Source organism: Homo sapiens, chromosome 7 (genome assembly GCF_000001405.40).
Source record: "Homo sapiens chromosome 7, GRCh38.p14 Primary Assembly".
NCBI lineage: Eukaryota > Metazoa > Chordata > Mammalia > Primates > Hominidae > Homo > Homo sapiens.
The window spans coordinates 38777474-38794130 of record NC_000007.14 but is presented as its reverse complement, the minus strand read 5'-3'; the positions used below and the strand labels follow the sequence as shown (position 1 = coordinate 38794130).

Genomic DNA, 16657 nt, shown 5'->3' with positions numbered 1-16657 from the left:
TCTTTTCTTATGGTGAAAGACAAGGAAAATTAGCCTGTAGAAATATGTAACAAGTTTACTCATTACTCCCAGAAATTCTTTCTCTGGTATGCTGAATAATGGCCCCAAGGATAGCAAGCCCTAATTCCTAGAACCTATAAATGTTTCTTTATATGACAAAAAGGTAAATATTACTTTATTTAGCAAAAGATATGATTAAGTTAAGGATCTTGAGATGGGGAATTAACCTACATTATCTGGGTGGGCCCTAAATGCAATCACGTTTATCTTTATGAGAGGGAGGCAGAGGGAGATGCTAACATGGAAGAGAGGAGGAGAAGGCAGTACCACTGTGGAGGCAGAAATTGGAGTGAGGTGGTCAGTGAATGGTGGCAGCCACCAGAAAGCTGGAGGAGACAGCAGATTGTCCCCTAGAGCCTCCAGAGGAAGTACAGCCTTGCCAACACCTTGATTTTAGCCCAGTGAACCCAATTTCAGACTTGTAGCCTGCGGAACTGTAACAGATGTTTAAAACAACATCTCTGTTGTTTTAAACCACCAAGTGTGGCAGTCTGTTATAGCAGCCATGGGAAACATATACCCTTTCTTTATGCCCAAGTTAAGATCCAGCTTCTATACAATTTTTATGTCAAATATTTCATTTTATTGGAGGTTCCTTTTCTTCAAACTCAGTTCTATATGTTGAGCACTTCTCAGTGTAGACTCTTAGTGAGTTCTGTTGAAGGAAGAGGAGATAAGGACGTGGTCTTTCTTCAGAGGGACAGCAATCTTGTTGGGGAGAAGCAACCAGAAACAGTAAAATAAAGTGTGCAATTGGACCTTACCATTTACTTCATTCATTCATTTGCCCAACAAACGTTTACCAGGTGCCTGCAGTGTGCCAGGCAGTGTTCTAGTGTTGCAGAACACAAATATACAAATGAATGAGTTCCTTCCCTTGGGAAATTTATGTTCTAGTGAGGAAGGTGGACAAAAACAAGTAAGTATAGCATGTTGAAGGTGGCAAATAAAAAGGAGAACATTTTAACAGGATAATAGGAAAAGGGATTGGGGTAGGTACCATTTAATATAGGGTGGTCCAGGGATGGCCTGTCCAATAACTAATATGTTGTTTGGTCAGAGATCTGGAGAGAAAAGTTATACAGCTCTATGGGGGCCTGGGGTAGGAGGTGTTAGCAGAAGGAGCAGGAGTGCAAAAATTCTTGAAGCAGGAGTGTGATTGGTGTGCTTTTGAGGAACAGCAAGGAAGCTGTTTGTGTCAGAGTGAGTGGAGCAGATGTGGAGGAGAGGGATGTAAGTGGGGGTCGGGGAGGGTGTGGTGGAGGAGCAGGTGATGTTGGAGCCCAGGGGCCCTTGAGAAGTCTTTGGCTTTTAATTTGACTGAGGTAGGAAGCCAGCACAGGGCTTTGAGCTGTTGTGGAGTCAGTTAAGTGATCTAACTTGTATTTTGGAAGGATCTCTGGTTGCTGTGTGGAGCTAAACGGCAAAGGGGCAGTCAAGAGGGGAGACCAATTAGGCTACCGCAGTCATCTCCATAAAAAATAATGTTGTCTCAGGTCAGTGTAATGCAGCTGGTGAGAAATGACCAGATCCTGGATATATTTTGATGGTAGACTCTGCAGTATTTGTTGACAGTTGGATGTGGGGTGTAAGATCACAGTCACCTAACATACTGGAAGGTGAAACTACCTTTTGCTGAAATGGGAAAGACTGTTGATAAAGCATGTTTAGAGTGAAAAAGGCAAGAGTTGGTTTTAGGTGTGTCTACTTGAGAGATGCCTGTTATCCACCCATGTGGAGAAGTGGAGGAAGCAGATTAGAGTTCATGGGCAAGAACCCACCTATCAGTGGTAAAGGGCTCTTACAGTCATTGATTTGTGCTTATGCAAGACATGAGCTTAAGGTAGCACTTACCTATTCACCCACCTTTACCTGCCACTTCCTACCTATGAGACAGGTGCTGGGTGAGCCCAGACCACAGAGCTGAGGAGTGCAGTAGAGCCATGCCCAGCTACCAGTAGTGCAATGCATCCTTGTTCTCAAGCTGTGGCATGACCAGCGAGATACCAGTCAGGCCTTGGTGTGAATTCCAGCTCTGGCCAGGCAGTCTGGCATCACTCACAGAGCCTCAGTGTCCTCATCTCTGGATTAAACATAATAACATTGTCTTTCAGGGGTGTCTGAGTGTTGGAAGACTGTCAGCCCTCAAGTTCTGTCAATGTCTCTCAAATCTCTGCACTTCATCTTCCTGTCAAGTCTTTTTGGTGCTGGTTTTACCCCCCCTAAACCTATCCTAAACAGTATAGCTAGAATAATCTAAGTGCAGGTCAGATGAGGTCAGTCCCCTCCTTGCCCATAGGATAACTGATCATAAACATGACTTCCAAGGTTCTTTGTGATCTGCCTCTCCGTTACTCTCCAGCCTCAACTCTGTCCCCTTCTTCCCCCATGCCCTTCATTTCTGTCCGATTGAGCTTCCAGTTGAAGGCCCTATGCTGTCATATCACCGTGTTCTCCTGTGTTGTCTCTCCTGCTTCAACTTACATGTCACTTCTTCCAGGAAGTCTTCCTGCCCTAGCAGGAGATGCCCCTGCTCTGTACTTCCCTGTCACACTTCAGTAAAGTGCCTTATTTTTGTGTCTCCCCCACTGCACCATAATCTTAAGAAAATAATGATATCTATTTCACAAAGGCCTTAACTCAGGAGCACTGCCAGTAACTGCCCAAAAAAGTGTTCACTAATATTGCCGATACATTTGCTTTTTTATTATACTTCAAACCATTTGAAAGACTGTTCCTCATGTACTTATATCAGCACATTAAAACAGTTGTCCATTTGGCATTGTGGAATGTGCCATTAGATGATTTAGTAGTTTCCCTAGTAAGTGTGGGAAGAAGAGTGGATAACTTATAAGCTCAAAAGTCTACCAGAAGGGAAGAAAATTGGAGAAGTGGACAGGCAGTTATATGAAACGGACAAGAGACAAATGGCAAAAAGCAATCAAGGAAGAAGACAGCCGGTCACTTCTATGTGGAGGCTTCTACCTCTGCAGCCATGGGTTCAAGCCCCGCCTGAGGGAAAGTGGGCACTCTGCATTCACTGAGTCGCTGCAGTGTTGCTGGGCAGCAACTCAGTATACTACGTATATTAAAAAACAAAACCTTACAAAAGTTTATGTACCCATTGGTATCAATTCTACTTCTAGGAATTTATCCTAAGTAAACAAAAGTCCTAAAGTTTTATATATAAGTATGTTGATTGCACTATTGCTTACAATAGATATAAAAACAAAAAAATATGCCCCCAAAGGGGGTTGATTAAGTATAGTACATTCATGTAATAAAAGGCAATCATCCCTCAGTGCCTGTGGGGAATTGGTTCCAGGACCCCTGTGGATCCTGGGCTCCTCTGATGCTTATATAAATGATGTAACATTTGCATATATAAAATGATGCGGTATTTGCATATAACCTATGCACATCCTCCTGTATACTTTAAATCATCTGTAGATTACTTATAACACCTGATACAATGCCTACACATCACTGCATTTGCATAGACTTAATGAAGTAGTTGGTGTACAGCAAGGTCAAGTTTTGCTTTTTGGAATTTTGTAGAATTTTTTTTTTTCCTGAATATTTCTGATCCTTGTTTGGTTAAATCCATGAATGTAGAATTCATGGATGCAAAACCCATGGATATGGAGGGCTCACTGTATTATAACAACTTTACAGAATTATGTTGTAGAAGAATCTTTAAATAACATATTGAATTACTTGTATTAAATTGTTAGGTTAATAAAAGTAGCTTTCATAAAAAAGATTATTAATGGTGTTCTCTTTGTGCTGGAACAATGACTAATGCTTGTTTTCCCCTTTGAGTTTTTCTATATTTTAGAATTTTCCATACCATAGTTACAGTTAATGGTAGCAGCTATAAAAGAACACTATGTAAAAGAAAAAGGAAAAATCCCTGATCACTGACAGAAGTTGTACTTGGATTAGTACTTGACTTCAGGTTCAGTCTCACCAGGAAAGCTGAACTTATGTGAATCAGGCTTTATTGAGGAATAAAGTTGGTGAATATAAATAGTGATTGCTATATGTCATTTACATTAATTTCTGTCATTTAAGTCATAGGGTAGATTGTACTCCATCTGCAGTGCTACAAGGTTAATTTAACAAAGATACCATATACTGAATAAAATGTTATGAAGAATTTTCCATCAAATGAATAAAATAACCTGCGAACTTATTTTCCAGGTGTGCTCAGTGAAGGAACGGCATGCCAGTGAAATGAGGGATTTGCCAAGTCGATATGTTGAAATAGGTATGGCTCCAACACTTGCCTTCTGTGGATGTAAAACTTCATTCAAAATTTTCGTCTTCATTAATCTCACCCAGACTGCCATAGTCTTTTGCCTGGATCCCTGCAGCAGCCTCCTAACTGGTTTATCTTCTTCCACTGTGAATTACTGTCATCTGCTGTCCCCACTGCTGTCAAAATACAGATCAGATCTTGTCATCATCCTTCAGTTCCTCCACATCGTTCTCAGAGTGCAGATGGAACTCCTCAGTGGATCACGGGGATCTGTGTTGGCCCCTACCCACCTCTCCAGCTGTAGCTTATGCCAAGCTTCTCCTTGGTCTCTGTGCTGCAGCCACACTGACCTTTTACCTGTCCATGCCTCTCTTTCCCCTTGTCTAGCACAGTATTTGGCTAGAGTGTTGCTTTCCAGGGAAAGCACTGGGAAAGCCACTGGACCTCCCTGACTGAGTCAGGTCTTCCCATTTTAGGCACTACAGCACTGCAGGCCTCCTCCCCTTTCTAGCACTTGTCACGGGTTCCAGTGATCCTGTGATTATTTGATACATTTCTGTCTTTTCTACCTGACTGTCACCTCCTTTTGAGCACACACAGGGTCTGTTTTTGCTCACCATTTGTATCTTGAGGACCTGGCACAATACTTGCACATAGAAGGTGCTTAATATTGAGTTGAATGAATCAGTGACTCTGGGAAACAGCTGTTCAGGAGAAGTATGCCCTGGATGATGTACCATGACTTTTATAATTTAGTTTGAAAAAATTAATCTGAGAAAAAAAATTGCCATATTATGAGTCAGCTGAAAAGTTCATTTGCCCATTTGCTTGGTGGATGGGTAATATCAATTTGATGGGTTATTCTGCCAAGGTGAAGTTGAAATAAATTATTTGCACATGATTGTATTTCTGTAAATAGAAAGACATACATTACCCACATGACTAATGTGGTTATAACATTTAAATCTGGGCTATTTTGTACTTGAAGTCAGAAGTTGGTGGTAGAGTTTTAATCTTTTTTTTTAACTTTAGGAGTATAACTACATAGTTCAGATTGCTTAGTGTATGGACAGTAGGTATATGAAGAATGTAGCAGTGCTGAGAAAAACTGAGGACCAAGATAAGAGACAAGATTTATGACTAGACTATATAGATAATTGTTTCAATATCTTTTTCTTCTTTCCTTGCCTACTAGAAAATAAAAAGAAAAACAAAAGCCTCTCAACATCTCAATGCAATGTCCTGAGAGATTAGTATTTGGATATTTTTAATTGCCAGAGAGGTATAAAAATGTAGCAATTGTCATCTTCTTTCCTTAGCTGATACTTATTGATCATGTACTAGGTGGAGGGCATTGTGCTGCTTACATAAACTGCAGTAACTCACTTTATCCTCACAGGAACTCTTTAAGTGCAGGTAGTTTGCTTTTTATTCTATAGATGAAGAAATTGAGGCTTAGGAGGTAAATGACTTGTCCAGGATCTTACTACTATAGCGTTAAAAATGGATAGAATCTAACTCTACAGAACCACCAGAAAGCTTCCAGGGAGGCAAGGAAGTTTGCTGAAGTGTGTGATCTTGATGAGGTTACTTAACCTTCTTGACCATCCTTTTCTCACCTGTTAAATGGAGGTGATAATATCTATCTTTTAGGATGGGTGTGGGAATTAGACATGGCATAAGAAATGTGCCTAACATGGTACTTGGCACACAGTAGATGCTCACTAAACCATGATGGTTATTATCACTATGCAGACTTTCATCCCAACTCTGTGACTGCTGATAGCTGGCTCAGTGGTGGCCCTATTAGCCTAGAACCCTGGGATCACATTATTGCAGTGTGGTTCATCTGTACTGTAATTTACGTGAAATAGACCATATGTGGATACTAACAGTATCACATTACTGACATTTTACTACTATGGTTAATGGTTAAGTACCATTTTTTCCCCTCTTAAGAGTAAACCTTTAAGAATATAAGCCATTTCCACAGCAGGAGGCAAAATAGTTTGGATAAGAGTCCTTAAGTAGGATAACAGAAAGGGAAATATTAGGAGGTCTGGATTACAATTTCCTTTAGCCCTGAATAGTGTGAGCCACTGTTCTTTGGTAAATGAGGTGAAAATGGCATTAAGATTAAAGAAATACGTATGGCTGTACATTTCTTAGAAGCCAATTGTTTATAACTCTTTCTGTTACAACTCAGACTCTCAAAAATAGCACGAAAGTTATTCCTATCACATAGGCTGTTGATTTATTCTGTTAAATGAAAAATAATAATAATATAATGAAGATTAAGCTTCTTGGCCAATCACCAACACATGAAGAGATTCTCTATACATAGGGCTTTTGGGACATCATATTTTCTTTCAAATTGCATTGTTAAAAATAGATTATGGTTTGTGCCTAGCATCCATGTTTTAACTTCACTTGCATCTCTTGTATTCTCACAGGACTCCCTGAGCCTCTGGTACTTTTCACCAAAGTCTTCCATGATCTCTGTGGTATGGTAGTTGGAGAGCTGACATCATGATGTTGGGAAATGAAACCAATGTTTGTGTGTCATTTTCTGGGAGTTTTCTGCCAGGGGTAGTTGACTTACATGCAAGGAATTAATGATTGACTTCTTGGTCTTAATTTCATGTGGAATTTTGTTTAATTGAGATTAAACAACTATATGAGAATCTATATAGAATGACAAGTCAGGAAGAAAGGGAAGAGAAAAGAAGGGAAATCTTTTTTACTTTCAGTATTGTCTGTATCTTCATTGATCATATACTGTGGTCTTAGAATTTAGCACATCATTCTTTTTTCAGTCTTTTAATTGACTGAAAAAACAGTGACCTGAAAATTGGTGATCTGTTTTCATAGTGGAGGAGAGTTGTGAGATAATTCTTTCCTAGATCTAAGTATCTCTCTTTATCCACCTGTTACCATTTTGATTCAGCTATATGGGTTACAGTAGTGGGATCTTTGTGTGTGTGTGCCCAGGAGTGATGTGGTTTCATCTCTTAGTCTGAGTCTCAATAGAAATGATGACAGCTGGCATTCTTCAAGGTGTTTTTACTTGAGGATCTAGGTATGTATGGTTTTCTGTTCTGTTATAGATAGTTCAGTATAAATTTCTGTAATAATCTGTTCTGCATTGAATTTTTTTTCTAACATTTTGTTATGAAATTTTCATTAAAGAAAAGAACTTTGTAGTGAATAGAACCTCCAGGATTCTGCAGTTAAGATTTTACTATATTTGCTTTATTACGTATCTGTTCATCTATTCATTCCTCCTTTTGGGAGGGATGTAACAACTCTTTCCCCGCTCAGTAGTGTAGACTCAGGTTTTTGTTGTTAGGAGTGGAATTAATGAAGTTTCTCCATAATAAGTAATGGTAAGAAATCTGAAGCACCTGAAGTAACAAATATATATTGTTCCTTATATAACAACCACCACCAAGCACAGTGCTGAATACATTGCAAACAGAAGGTCATCTAATCTTCCCAGTATGCGAGTGGGTAGCGGCTACTATCCCCATGGTGTAAGTGAAGAAGCTGATGTTCAGAAGGGTTAGGTAACCTGCTCAAGATTATTCATAAACAAGGCAGTTTTTGCACTTAGGTGTGCCTAGCCGTAAAGTTGTTGCTTGTAATCATGGTGTCACACAGTGCTTCCCATGTTTCCTCTACCCAGCCCCTGGCCTTTGTTTACAGAGTCTTGTTCCAGACATTCAGATACAGACCACTGCAGAAATGCTCTAGAATCTGAAGACCCTTTTTCTATATCAGTGATGATAGCTGCTCACCTTTTCTAGGAACTGCCAGATGAAATGGAAATGCAGTAGATTTGTTTTTTTATTTTGGTTCAGAGAAATATCTCATTTGGAGACTTAGAAATTATATTTTCACTTGCTTTATCCTGAGATTGAGAGCTTTTCTTCATTGCTTCTCCTCCACATTTTTAGATAATTTATAGAACCTGATTGCCTTGGGTGACCTTTGGAATTGTTTCTAAGGAAAGGGAACCAAACTTAGATTATGCTTCTTTCAGCCCTTTTAAAAAGAAGAAAAGCCCTTGTTTGCTATTTTTTAGTGTTTAGCTTAAGTTTAGTTGATGCAACAAGGTAGTTTTATATTTATAAAATAAAGTGTAACATTTGGTTTGAACCTTGTGATTAGCAGGTCATTGGCAATGCCTTTCCTTTTCTTTTGTCTAAGCAATGTGCTGTAACATACTCACTAAATATTCCTCATCAGTGCTGTTTCAGGAGACTAAAATTTGGTAGATGAGATAATCCTATCAGCTTAGTGTTGTCATTTAATTGACAATAGTTTGCTGAATATTGATTATAAAATACGGAATTAAATTGCAAACTAAATTTGTTTTCAGCAGTTTTTTATCTGTGTGTACTGTTCGGCTCCTGTCTGATTTGAATGTTTTTGTTATTTTGTCCATTAGCCATTCTTTTCAATTTCACTTCATGTAGCAGATCTTCTCCATAATTTGCTGATGTAAAGCATTGTGAAGTCAGTTTTACTTTAATGTGTCTGCTTCTTAGCACAGCCTGAAGCTGTTGAAGTGCCGTTATTTCCAAATGTATTTTCAGTGATAAGTGGTCATGCTGACAGAATGTCTAAACTTATTGAAAAGTCTGTGGGTATTACATCCAGTTGATTATAAAATACTAATATCTGGTGACTAAGGGGCCAGAATCTCTTGGGAATAAGACACTATCTATCATAAAGGGCCCTCAATGCATTTTCATAAATGAATATAAGACAATGAAGGGTAATTGTTCTTATTTGTAAATTGCTTGACACACATTTTTGTTTGTTTCTTTAAGAATCATAGAAGCTAAGATCTATGGGATGTCACCTTATTTAACTTCAATAAAGAAATCTGGGTAGCATTTAGCTAATGGACATTTGGGGACCAATAAGGGAATAAGAAATGGGGGAAAAGAGGCAGTGCAAGTTCTGTGTACTGCAGCGCTTTAGCCCTTGCAGCAGCACTGCAAATTCAAGAGAGGGGCTGGGGCACCCTGACTGCATGCAGCAGAATCACCAGAGAGCCCTCACTTCTGTTCTTGCCAACTGCAGTGTGCTTTGAATCTAAGCATCTCTGTATTCTTATATTCTTCCCCTTCCCCTCCTCCTTCCCCCTAACTCCCCCCCTCCTTCTTTCGATATAGGGTCTTGCTCTTTGCCCAGGCTTTAGTGCAGTGGCATAATCACGCCTTACTGCAACCTCAGCCTCCTGGGCCAAAGCGATCCTCCCACCTCAGCCTTCTAAGTAGCTGGGACTACAGGCGTGCACCACCATGCCTGGCTAATTTTTTAATTTTTTGTAAAGATGTGGTCTCCTTTTGTTGCCCATGCTGGTATCAAACTGGGCTCAAGAAATCCTCCCACCTTGGCCTCCCAACATGCTGGGATTACAGGCGTGAGCCACCATACCCGGCCCTGACTTACATTTTCTAGAGTGACTTATGGTTGGGAAAAATAGGACTTCAGATTCCTACTTCTCTTATCTTCCACTTAAGTGACTTTAGTCAAGTTACTTAACCCCTCTGAGCCTCCTTCCCTCTCTAAAATAACCATAGGGTGGTTGTGGTGAAAAGCAATATTGTATGTAAATATTTAGCATACTGCCTCACAGCATAGTAATGTTCATTAAATGGGAGCTATTATTAATATTAGTATTATATTTAGTTACAGTGAGAGAGAAAAATAGTGGTTTCTTTTAAAATCAGAAGATCTGAAAATTGTGTTTTATAAAATTTGTAATTTAAAGACAATTTGGGGAAGATGTAAATAAGGGTTTACTGAATGATTCCGAGGAGATTGATAATGTTTTATAATTGCATTTCTCAATAAAATGTATCTATAAACATATATGACAGAGGTACAAGTAATAAAAATATTGATTTAATGTTGTCTCATAGGTTTGAATACACAGATAAGAAGTGAGATAACCTAGTTGGGAATTATTGGAGGATGGTTTTTTACTTTAAACAAATTTTGATTTTTATCCTTTGTAATCTAATATCCATTAGGGTTTTAAACAGTTTTTTTTTTAAATGAAACGAAGAGGTTGTTTTCTCTCATGTTATCCACACCATTTCTGGCTTAAGGGGCTTATGGTCATGATTATTGCTGCTGTTTCCACCCTCATCTGTACCTCCTCAGAAGCTAAATTTTCTTGCGCTGTGCTATTTTTTGTTTTACACCTGTTCCTGTTTTTGCACATAGCATGTGGTATTTTAATTATCTCTTTTTTTTTTTGAGACAGAGTTTCGCTCTGTTGCCTAGGCTGGAGTACAGTGGCACAATCTCGGCTCACTGTAATCGCTGCCTCCCAGGTTCAAGCAATTCTCTGCCTCAGCCTCCCAAGTAGCTGGGATTACAGGCGCCTGCCACCACGCTTGGCTAATTTTTGTATTTTTAGTAGAGATGGGGTTTCACCTTCTTGGCCAGGCTGGTCTTGAGCTCCTGACCTTGTGATCCACCTGCCTTGGCCTCCCAAAGTGCTGGGATTACAAGCGTGAGCCACCACACCTGGCCTAATTATTTCTTTAAATATTCAGACTCACAATCTCCTTTAAGTTAGGGTCAGGTCTTAGTCATCTTGATGCATCTAGAAGACTGTCTCGTGTAATTGATACTCAGTTACTCTTTTTTCTTTTTTTTTGAGGCAGAGTCTCGCTCTATCACCCAGGCTGGTGTGCAGTGGCAGGATCTCAGCTTACTACAGCCTCTGCCTCCTGGGTGCTCGCGGGTTCAAGCGATTCTCCTGCCTCAGCCTCCCAAGTAGCTGGGGCTACAGGCACGTTGTCACCACTGCCAGCTAATTTTTATATGTTTAATAGAGGCGGGGTTTTACCATGGTGGCCAGGCTGGTCTCGAACTCCTGACCTCAAGTGATCCGTCCACCTCGGCCTCCCAAATTGCTGTGATTAAAGGCGTGAGCCACCGCACCCAGCCTCAGTCACTCTTCATTGACTTAAGTTGTAACCCTCAGAGATTATGAGACCCAAGGAATGAGAAAGTTCTTTCTTGTTAATTTTTATACCAATCATATGGCATTCATTATGCAACTGATGGTGTGTATGCTATCGAGGGCCAGACACTGTTGATCTATTTGTGACTCTAACCCTGACCCCATTGCCCTGGGCAATGTAAGGTTGATGTATTAAAACATGTATAACAGCAATATGTGAAAATTTTGTGGTTAGAAGATTCTGGGAATGTAGTGGCAGTGGCAGCATAATTTTTCAAACTACCTAGTCCTCCCATAAAAGCAGAACAACTAGGTCACAAAACCAAAAACCCACAGACAACATTTACAACAAAACTTAGTGACAAAGGTAGTCCTGAGAGCCCCAAGACACAAATTAATGGGAAAATAAAACACTGATCGCTGCAGGGTGATATCAGCATCTGTGTGAGAGAAAGCAGAGGGGAGCAAGTGGTCATCTAGCAGACTTGAGGCCAGGGGAACTCCAAGATAGCCAGTTGGCATTCACTGGAAAGGCCAAGAGGCTGCTCTGAGAACTGGGCCCAGGACCTGCAGTTAGGTGTGAGAGGCTGGGCAGCCCAGCTACCCCTGGCAACTCACACTGTGGAGCAGCCAGGCCTCCTCTCTCCACTGAGGAGACACTGCTGGGAGCAGAATAAAGCCTGAATGAGACAGGGACAATAGAAACAAAAGAAACAGGTCCAGATAACACCAGGGAGGAGCTGAGCCAGGAAATCTCAGAAAGCAATCTGCCATATTTTTCATATCAAATGGAAACAGCAGAAGAGGGAGCTCTAAGAGTTCAATAATGGTCATTTCACCTAAAAAGCAAGCAACGTTAAATCCATAATAAGTTTTAAGAAAAAGTGAGTAAGAAGCAGACATACCAGAAAGACACACCTACGCAATAGATTACAACTGTAATTTCCAGTTTCAGAGGAGCTATAAGACATCTTTAAAAAGTGATGTAAGAAATCAGAATTTGAAAATCTCAAATTAGGTGACAGGCTTCAGGAAGAATTAATAAATAAAAGCTCATTTCAGAATTGAAGACTGAACCTGAAGGAAGACAAGAACAAATAGATGCAAAGATAATGTTGGTAAGAGGAATAGAAGGGGAGCAGGAGGAAAATTGTAAAAATCACAAAGCAATAAGAACAAAAAGATTAAGGTTAAGTGATAAATACTGAAGACAGGCAAAGATAATTCAGTCTACCAATAAAGAGTCCCTGAGGAAAAAATAAAACTAGAGAATGGGACAAATACTATAGACAATGTCAAGAAAAATTTCATGAAAATGCAGAGAAACAGAAGTTGAAATTATAAATTAAAATAGCACACTGTGTATCCGAAAATAGTGACCCATAATGAGCAACACCAAGATATGTTCTAATGAAATTATTGGACTTTAAAGCGAAAAACTTGGGCATCTAGACCTGCACTGTCAAATGTGATAACCATTAGCCACTGTAGCTGTTAAGTCTTTGTGGTATGGCTAGTGTGGATTGATTTGTGCTACATACAGAATTCCAAAGACAGTCTAGAAATAAAAGGTAAAATATCTCATTAATCACTTTTTATATTATTACATGTTGAAATAATATTTTAGGTATGTTATGTATTATTAAAATTTCACCTCTTTTTTTGAACTCTTTATCGTGGTGTAGTCCATTCTTGCATTCCTATAAAGAAATTCCTGAGACTGGATAATTTATAAAGAAAAGAGGTTTAATTCTCACAGTCCTGCAGGCTATACAGTAAGCATGATGCTGGCATCTGGTTGGCTTCTGGGGAGGCCTCAGGAAACTTAAATCATGGTGGAAGACGAAGTGGGAGAAGGCACCTCACATGGCCAGGGCAGGAGCAAGAGGCAGGGGTAGATGCCACACACTTCTAAACCACCAGATCTTGTGAGAACTCACTGTCGTGAGGACAGTACCAAGAGGATTGTGCTAAAACAGTCATGAGAAATGACCATTCATGAGAAATCCGTTCCCATGATCTAATCATTTCCCACCAGGCCCCTCGTCCAACACTGGGGATTACAGTTCAACATGAGATTTGGGCAGGGCCACACATCCAAGCTATAGCACGTGGCTACTGGGAAATTTTAAATTACATATGTCATTTGTGTTTTGGCCCACATTATATTTCCATGGGGCAGCTAATCAAGGGGCCTCTAGCCTCCCTTTTGGATGAGGACCGTGTACAGAATCGTATTCATCTCATCCTCATTCTGGATCTAGAAGACCTTGCTGAATAGAATTTTCCTGTGAATATAGTCCTTTTGAACCTCTCTTTCTTACTCTGCTAGAATCTCTGTCTTTTTTCTTGAGTTATTTCTAGCATGTCTAGGAATGCTTTTATCCTCCTGAATAAAGCAGAATGCAGAAGTCCTTCCACCTCCATCAGGAGGAGGAAGGCTGTGCCTCAGCTGTAATGCCCACCATAGTATAAGGCCATCATCTAGGTGAACATAGCGCACTCCCTGCAGGGCCCGCGAGCTGAGCCTCAGCTGGCTTTCTAGATGACCTTGATCTGAAGTAAAGCCACTGTCTTTTGTGGCTACCTTTAGGAACTCTGCCTGCATTTTTCACTCCAAAAAAAAAAAAACAAAAACCAAAAAAAAAAACACCCTGTCCAGCTTTTGCTCCCTGTTTTCATGTATTTCCTCTCTAGCAGAATTTATGTTTATTTTCTTTGTGATTTATCTTTTCCAGATAATCAGGTTGAAAATGAGCTTCTGTAGTATTAGAACTGACAGCCACCTGTATTCAAACTGAGTCTCCTTTAGGAGAACAAAATATTTTATTTAAATTAATAGAGTCATTTTTACGTGGAATAGAATAGAATTTTAGTGAAAGTAAATAAACTGAAACTTCCATTCGTCCACTGAAAATTTGAAATATAAAGTCTGTAATTACTTGAATATATTTTACAAAGTCAGTCCATAAGCTTTTATATATTTTATGTGCATTTTTTACAAGAATATATATTGTCATTCAACATTTCTTTCTCTAAATCTATATGAAGAATATTCCTTATACCTTCATGTTCATTTTGACACCACTGTCTGCAGCCAGCCCTTCTGGGACTCAGCATCGCTATAAAAGATAAACAGAATCTTGTTAAATCTAAAAGCAATTATGTTTCGCTGCATTAGTAAAGACTAATGGAAAAACAAGACACCACCATTTATTCTAAAATGTCTTACTTTGTGGCAGAATGGCTGCAGACATTTCCCTAAATCAGCAACTCACATTAGAAGTGAGTTCTTTTTTGCATGATATCATTACCAGTGGGTATTAATGGAGATGAATTGCTGAGTGGGAGAGTACTCGAAACCAGATAAATGGCCATTATTTTGGAATTCTTAATTTGAGAATCATGCTGAGTATTACTATAATTGCAATTTTGTTTTCTATAAGAGATTTTTGTTGGTATAAGGGAATTACTTTAACAAAAAGAAAGACATAATTTAGTTTCAGTTTTATCCAAATGTTGATTACTTGCTTACCTGTGCGTCTGGAAGTCTTGACAATATTATTTTCATGTACCACATCTTTTCTTTATGAATAACATTTTTGTCAGCTTGTGATTTAGCCACTGCATATAGTCCGTGTCCAAATTATTAATTCTCAATTAGCAAAATTTGGCAAGGTTTAGTACTTAACAAGTAAGCGTTTATTACAACATCTGGAATTGAGAAGTGAAATAGATATGTGCACCTGCAATTTTTCTTTGTTTTGTTTTAGAACACATTGGAGTTTCTATCATGTTCTTAATTAGAGAACAGGAAATTTTCTGTCTTACTCATACAAGCTATTGTGGACTGGGGAGTTGGCATGTAGAGGAGGAAAGATTTGGGTAGGATTATTTCGTAGTTTCTCTGTTCTGTATCTTGGAGCTCATTCTCAAGAACCAAGGCCTTTGATGTATATTTGGTTACCTTTAGGAGAAACACTGACAGTGTCTGTCAGTGAGACTAGGCAGCCTATTTGGCATCCCAAGTGGGGAGAATACCTCCTTCTCCCACCCCTTCTTTTGTGATTAGGAGACGTTTTCCCTTAGGTGTCTGTGGCAGACAAGCACAGCAAAGCCTGTGATTTCTGTGAGAATCTCTGATTCTCTGCTCTTCACCCAAGTTGCTGGTAAGGGAACTGTATGTGTAGCATTTCAAAAATGGAATGTGATTTAGTAAAACAGAATGCAAGTCCATTTCTACCAGTCAGAGATTAGTAACCTCAGGAGTGATGACAACCAAAACCTCTTGTTAATATGTCTTCTAAAATGTGAAACTGCCATCTCTTTCATCACTGGGTCCTTTGTGGCCCCATACTGTTTAATATCATCTGTACATTCCGGCTCTCCCCTGCTCCCTGCTTCACCGCCCACGTGCATGCACAGCACTGTGAGCTTCTCTAGAACCTTCCGCAGCCTGGTTACGCTAGAAACACTGTCTCTGCACATGTGGTGGAGGTTGAGGTGGTTCTCCATATAAGCTCTTTTGTGAACATTTATCACAATTACCACTTTACCAAAACTATTCTTAAGTATCTGGATAAACACATTTGGTTCAAGCCCACAGAGATTAAGGAAAAAATGTGTTCCTGGCAGAACTGGGACCAGAGCACTTGCCCTTGGACTTCCATTGTATGGTACTTTAATTGAGGACAAAGCAGATGAAATATTATCTTTTTATAAGTTTATGTTGCTAACTATTACATCTTTTTGGTCATCCACAATTTTATTTTGGTGCGAAAATTAAATTGTGATAACAGCTGCGTAAGGAGGATCATTAAAGGTCAGCAGAGACAAGGAACACTAAGTAATCTGCAAGGGAAAGAAAGAGGGGGACAAAGGAAAATTCAGTATTTCATCTGTATTATGAATTTTATTTCTACTGTCATTCCTTTCTCTTATAGTTGGGAAATGTTAAAATGACTTGTTCAAGTTCAATTTAGTGGAAGTTATAACCCAAATTTCCTTACTCAGCATTCAGTATTGGTTCCAGTATGATACATTGAGGTCCCCTCATTGGGAAAAGAGTGTGGAAGTTAACTAAATCTGCAGCTAATACCACAGAACCGTGGAGATGATCTGAATGAAGAAACTTAGAAAATGTGGTGGGTCAGAACAAGAGTTTACTCCCAAATGAATCTGTGAAGTGTAGAGTATGATTTCTGGAAGGATCTCTGTAATACCACTACTGTATCAGTTAGCTTCTGCTCTGAAACAAGCCACTCCCAATCTCAGTCTCTTAAAACAATGATCTTTTATATTTTATAGCAGCTAATAATTAGAATCATATAATAATAATATGTGTA

The 16657-nt window shown here is 39.3% G+C and overlaps 1 protein-coding gene across 3 annotated transcripts in view; it reads left to right on the top strand.

The window, feature by feature from the left end:
* VPS41 (VPS41 subunit of HOPS complex) overlaps window positions 1-16657 on the top strand; it is a 186218-nt gene that overhangs the window by 115061 nt on the left and 54500 nt on the right. For all 3 annotated transcript variants that reach the window (XR_007060008.1, NM_080631.4, NM_014396.4), the window contains one exon: window positions 4264-4330. Coding sequence is in view for 2 of the 3 variants with exons in the window: in NM_080631.4 (NP_542198.2) it covers window positions 4264-4330 (67 nt within the window). In the remaining variant the exon portion in view is untranslated. The remainder of the gene's footprint in view (window positions 1-4263; window positions 4331-16657) is intronic.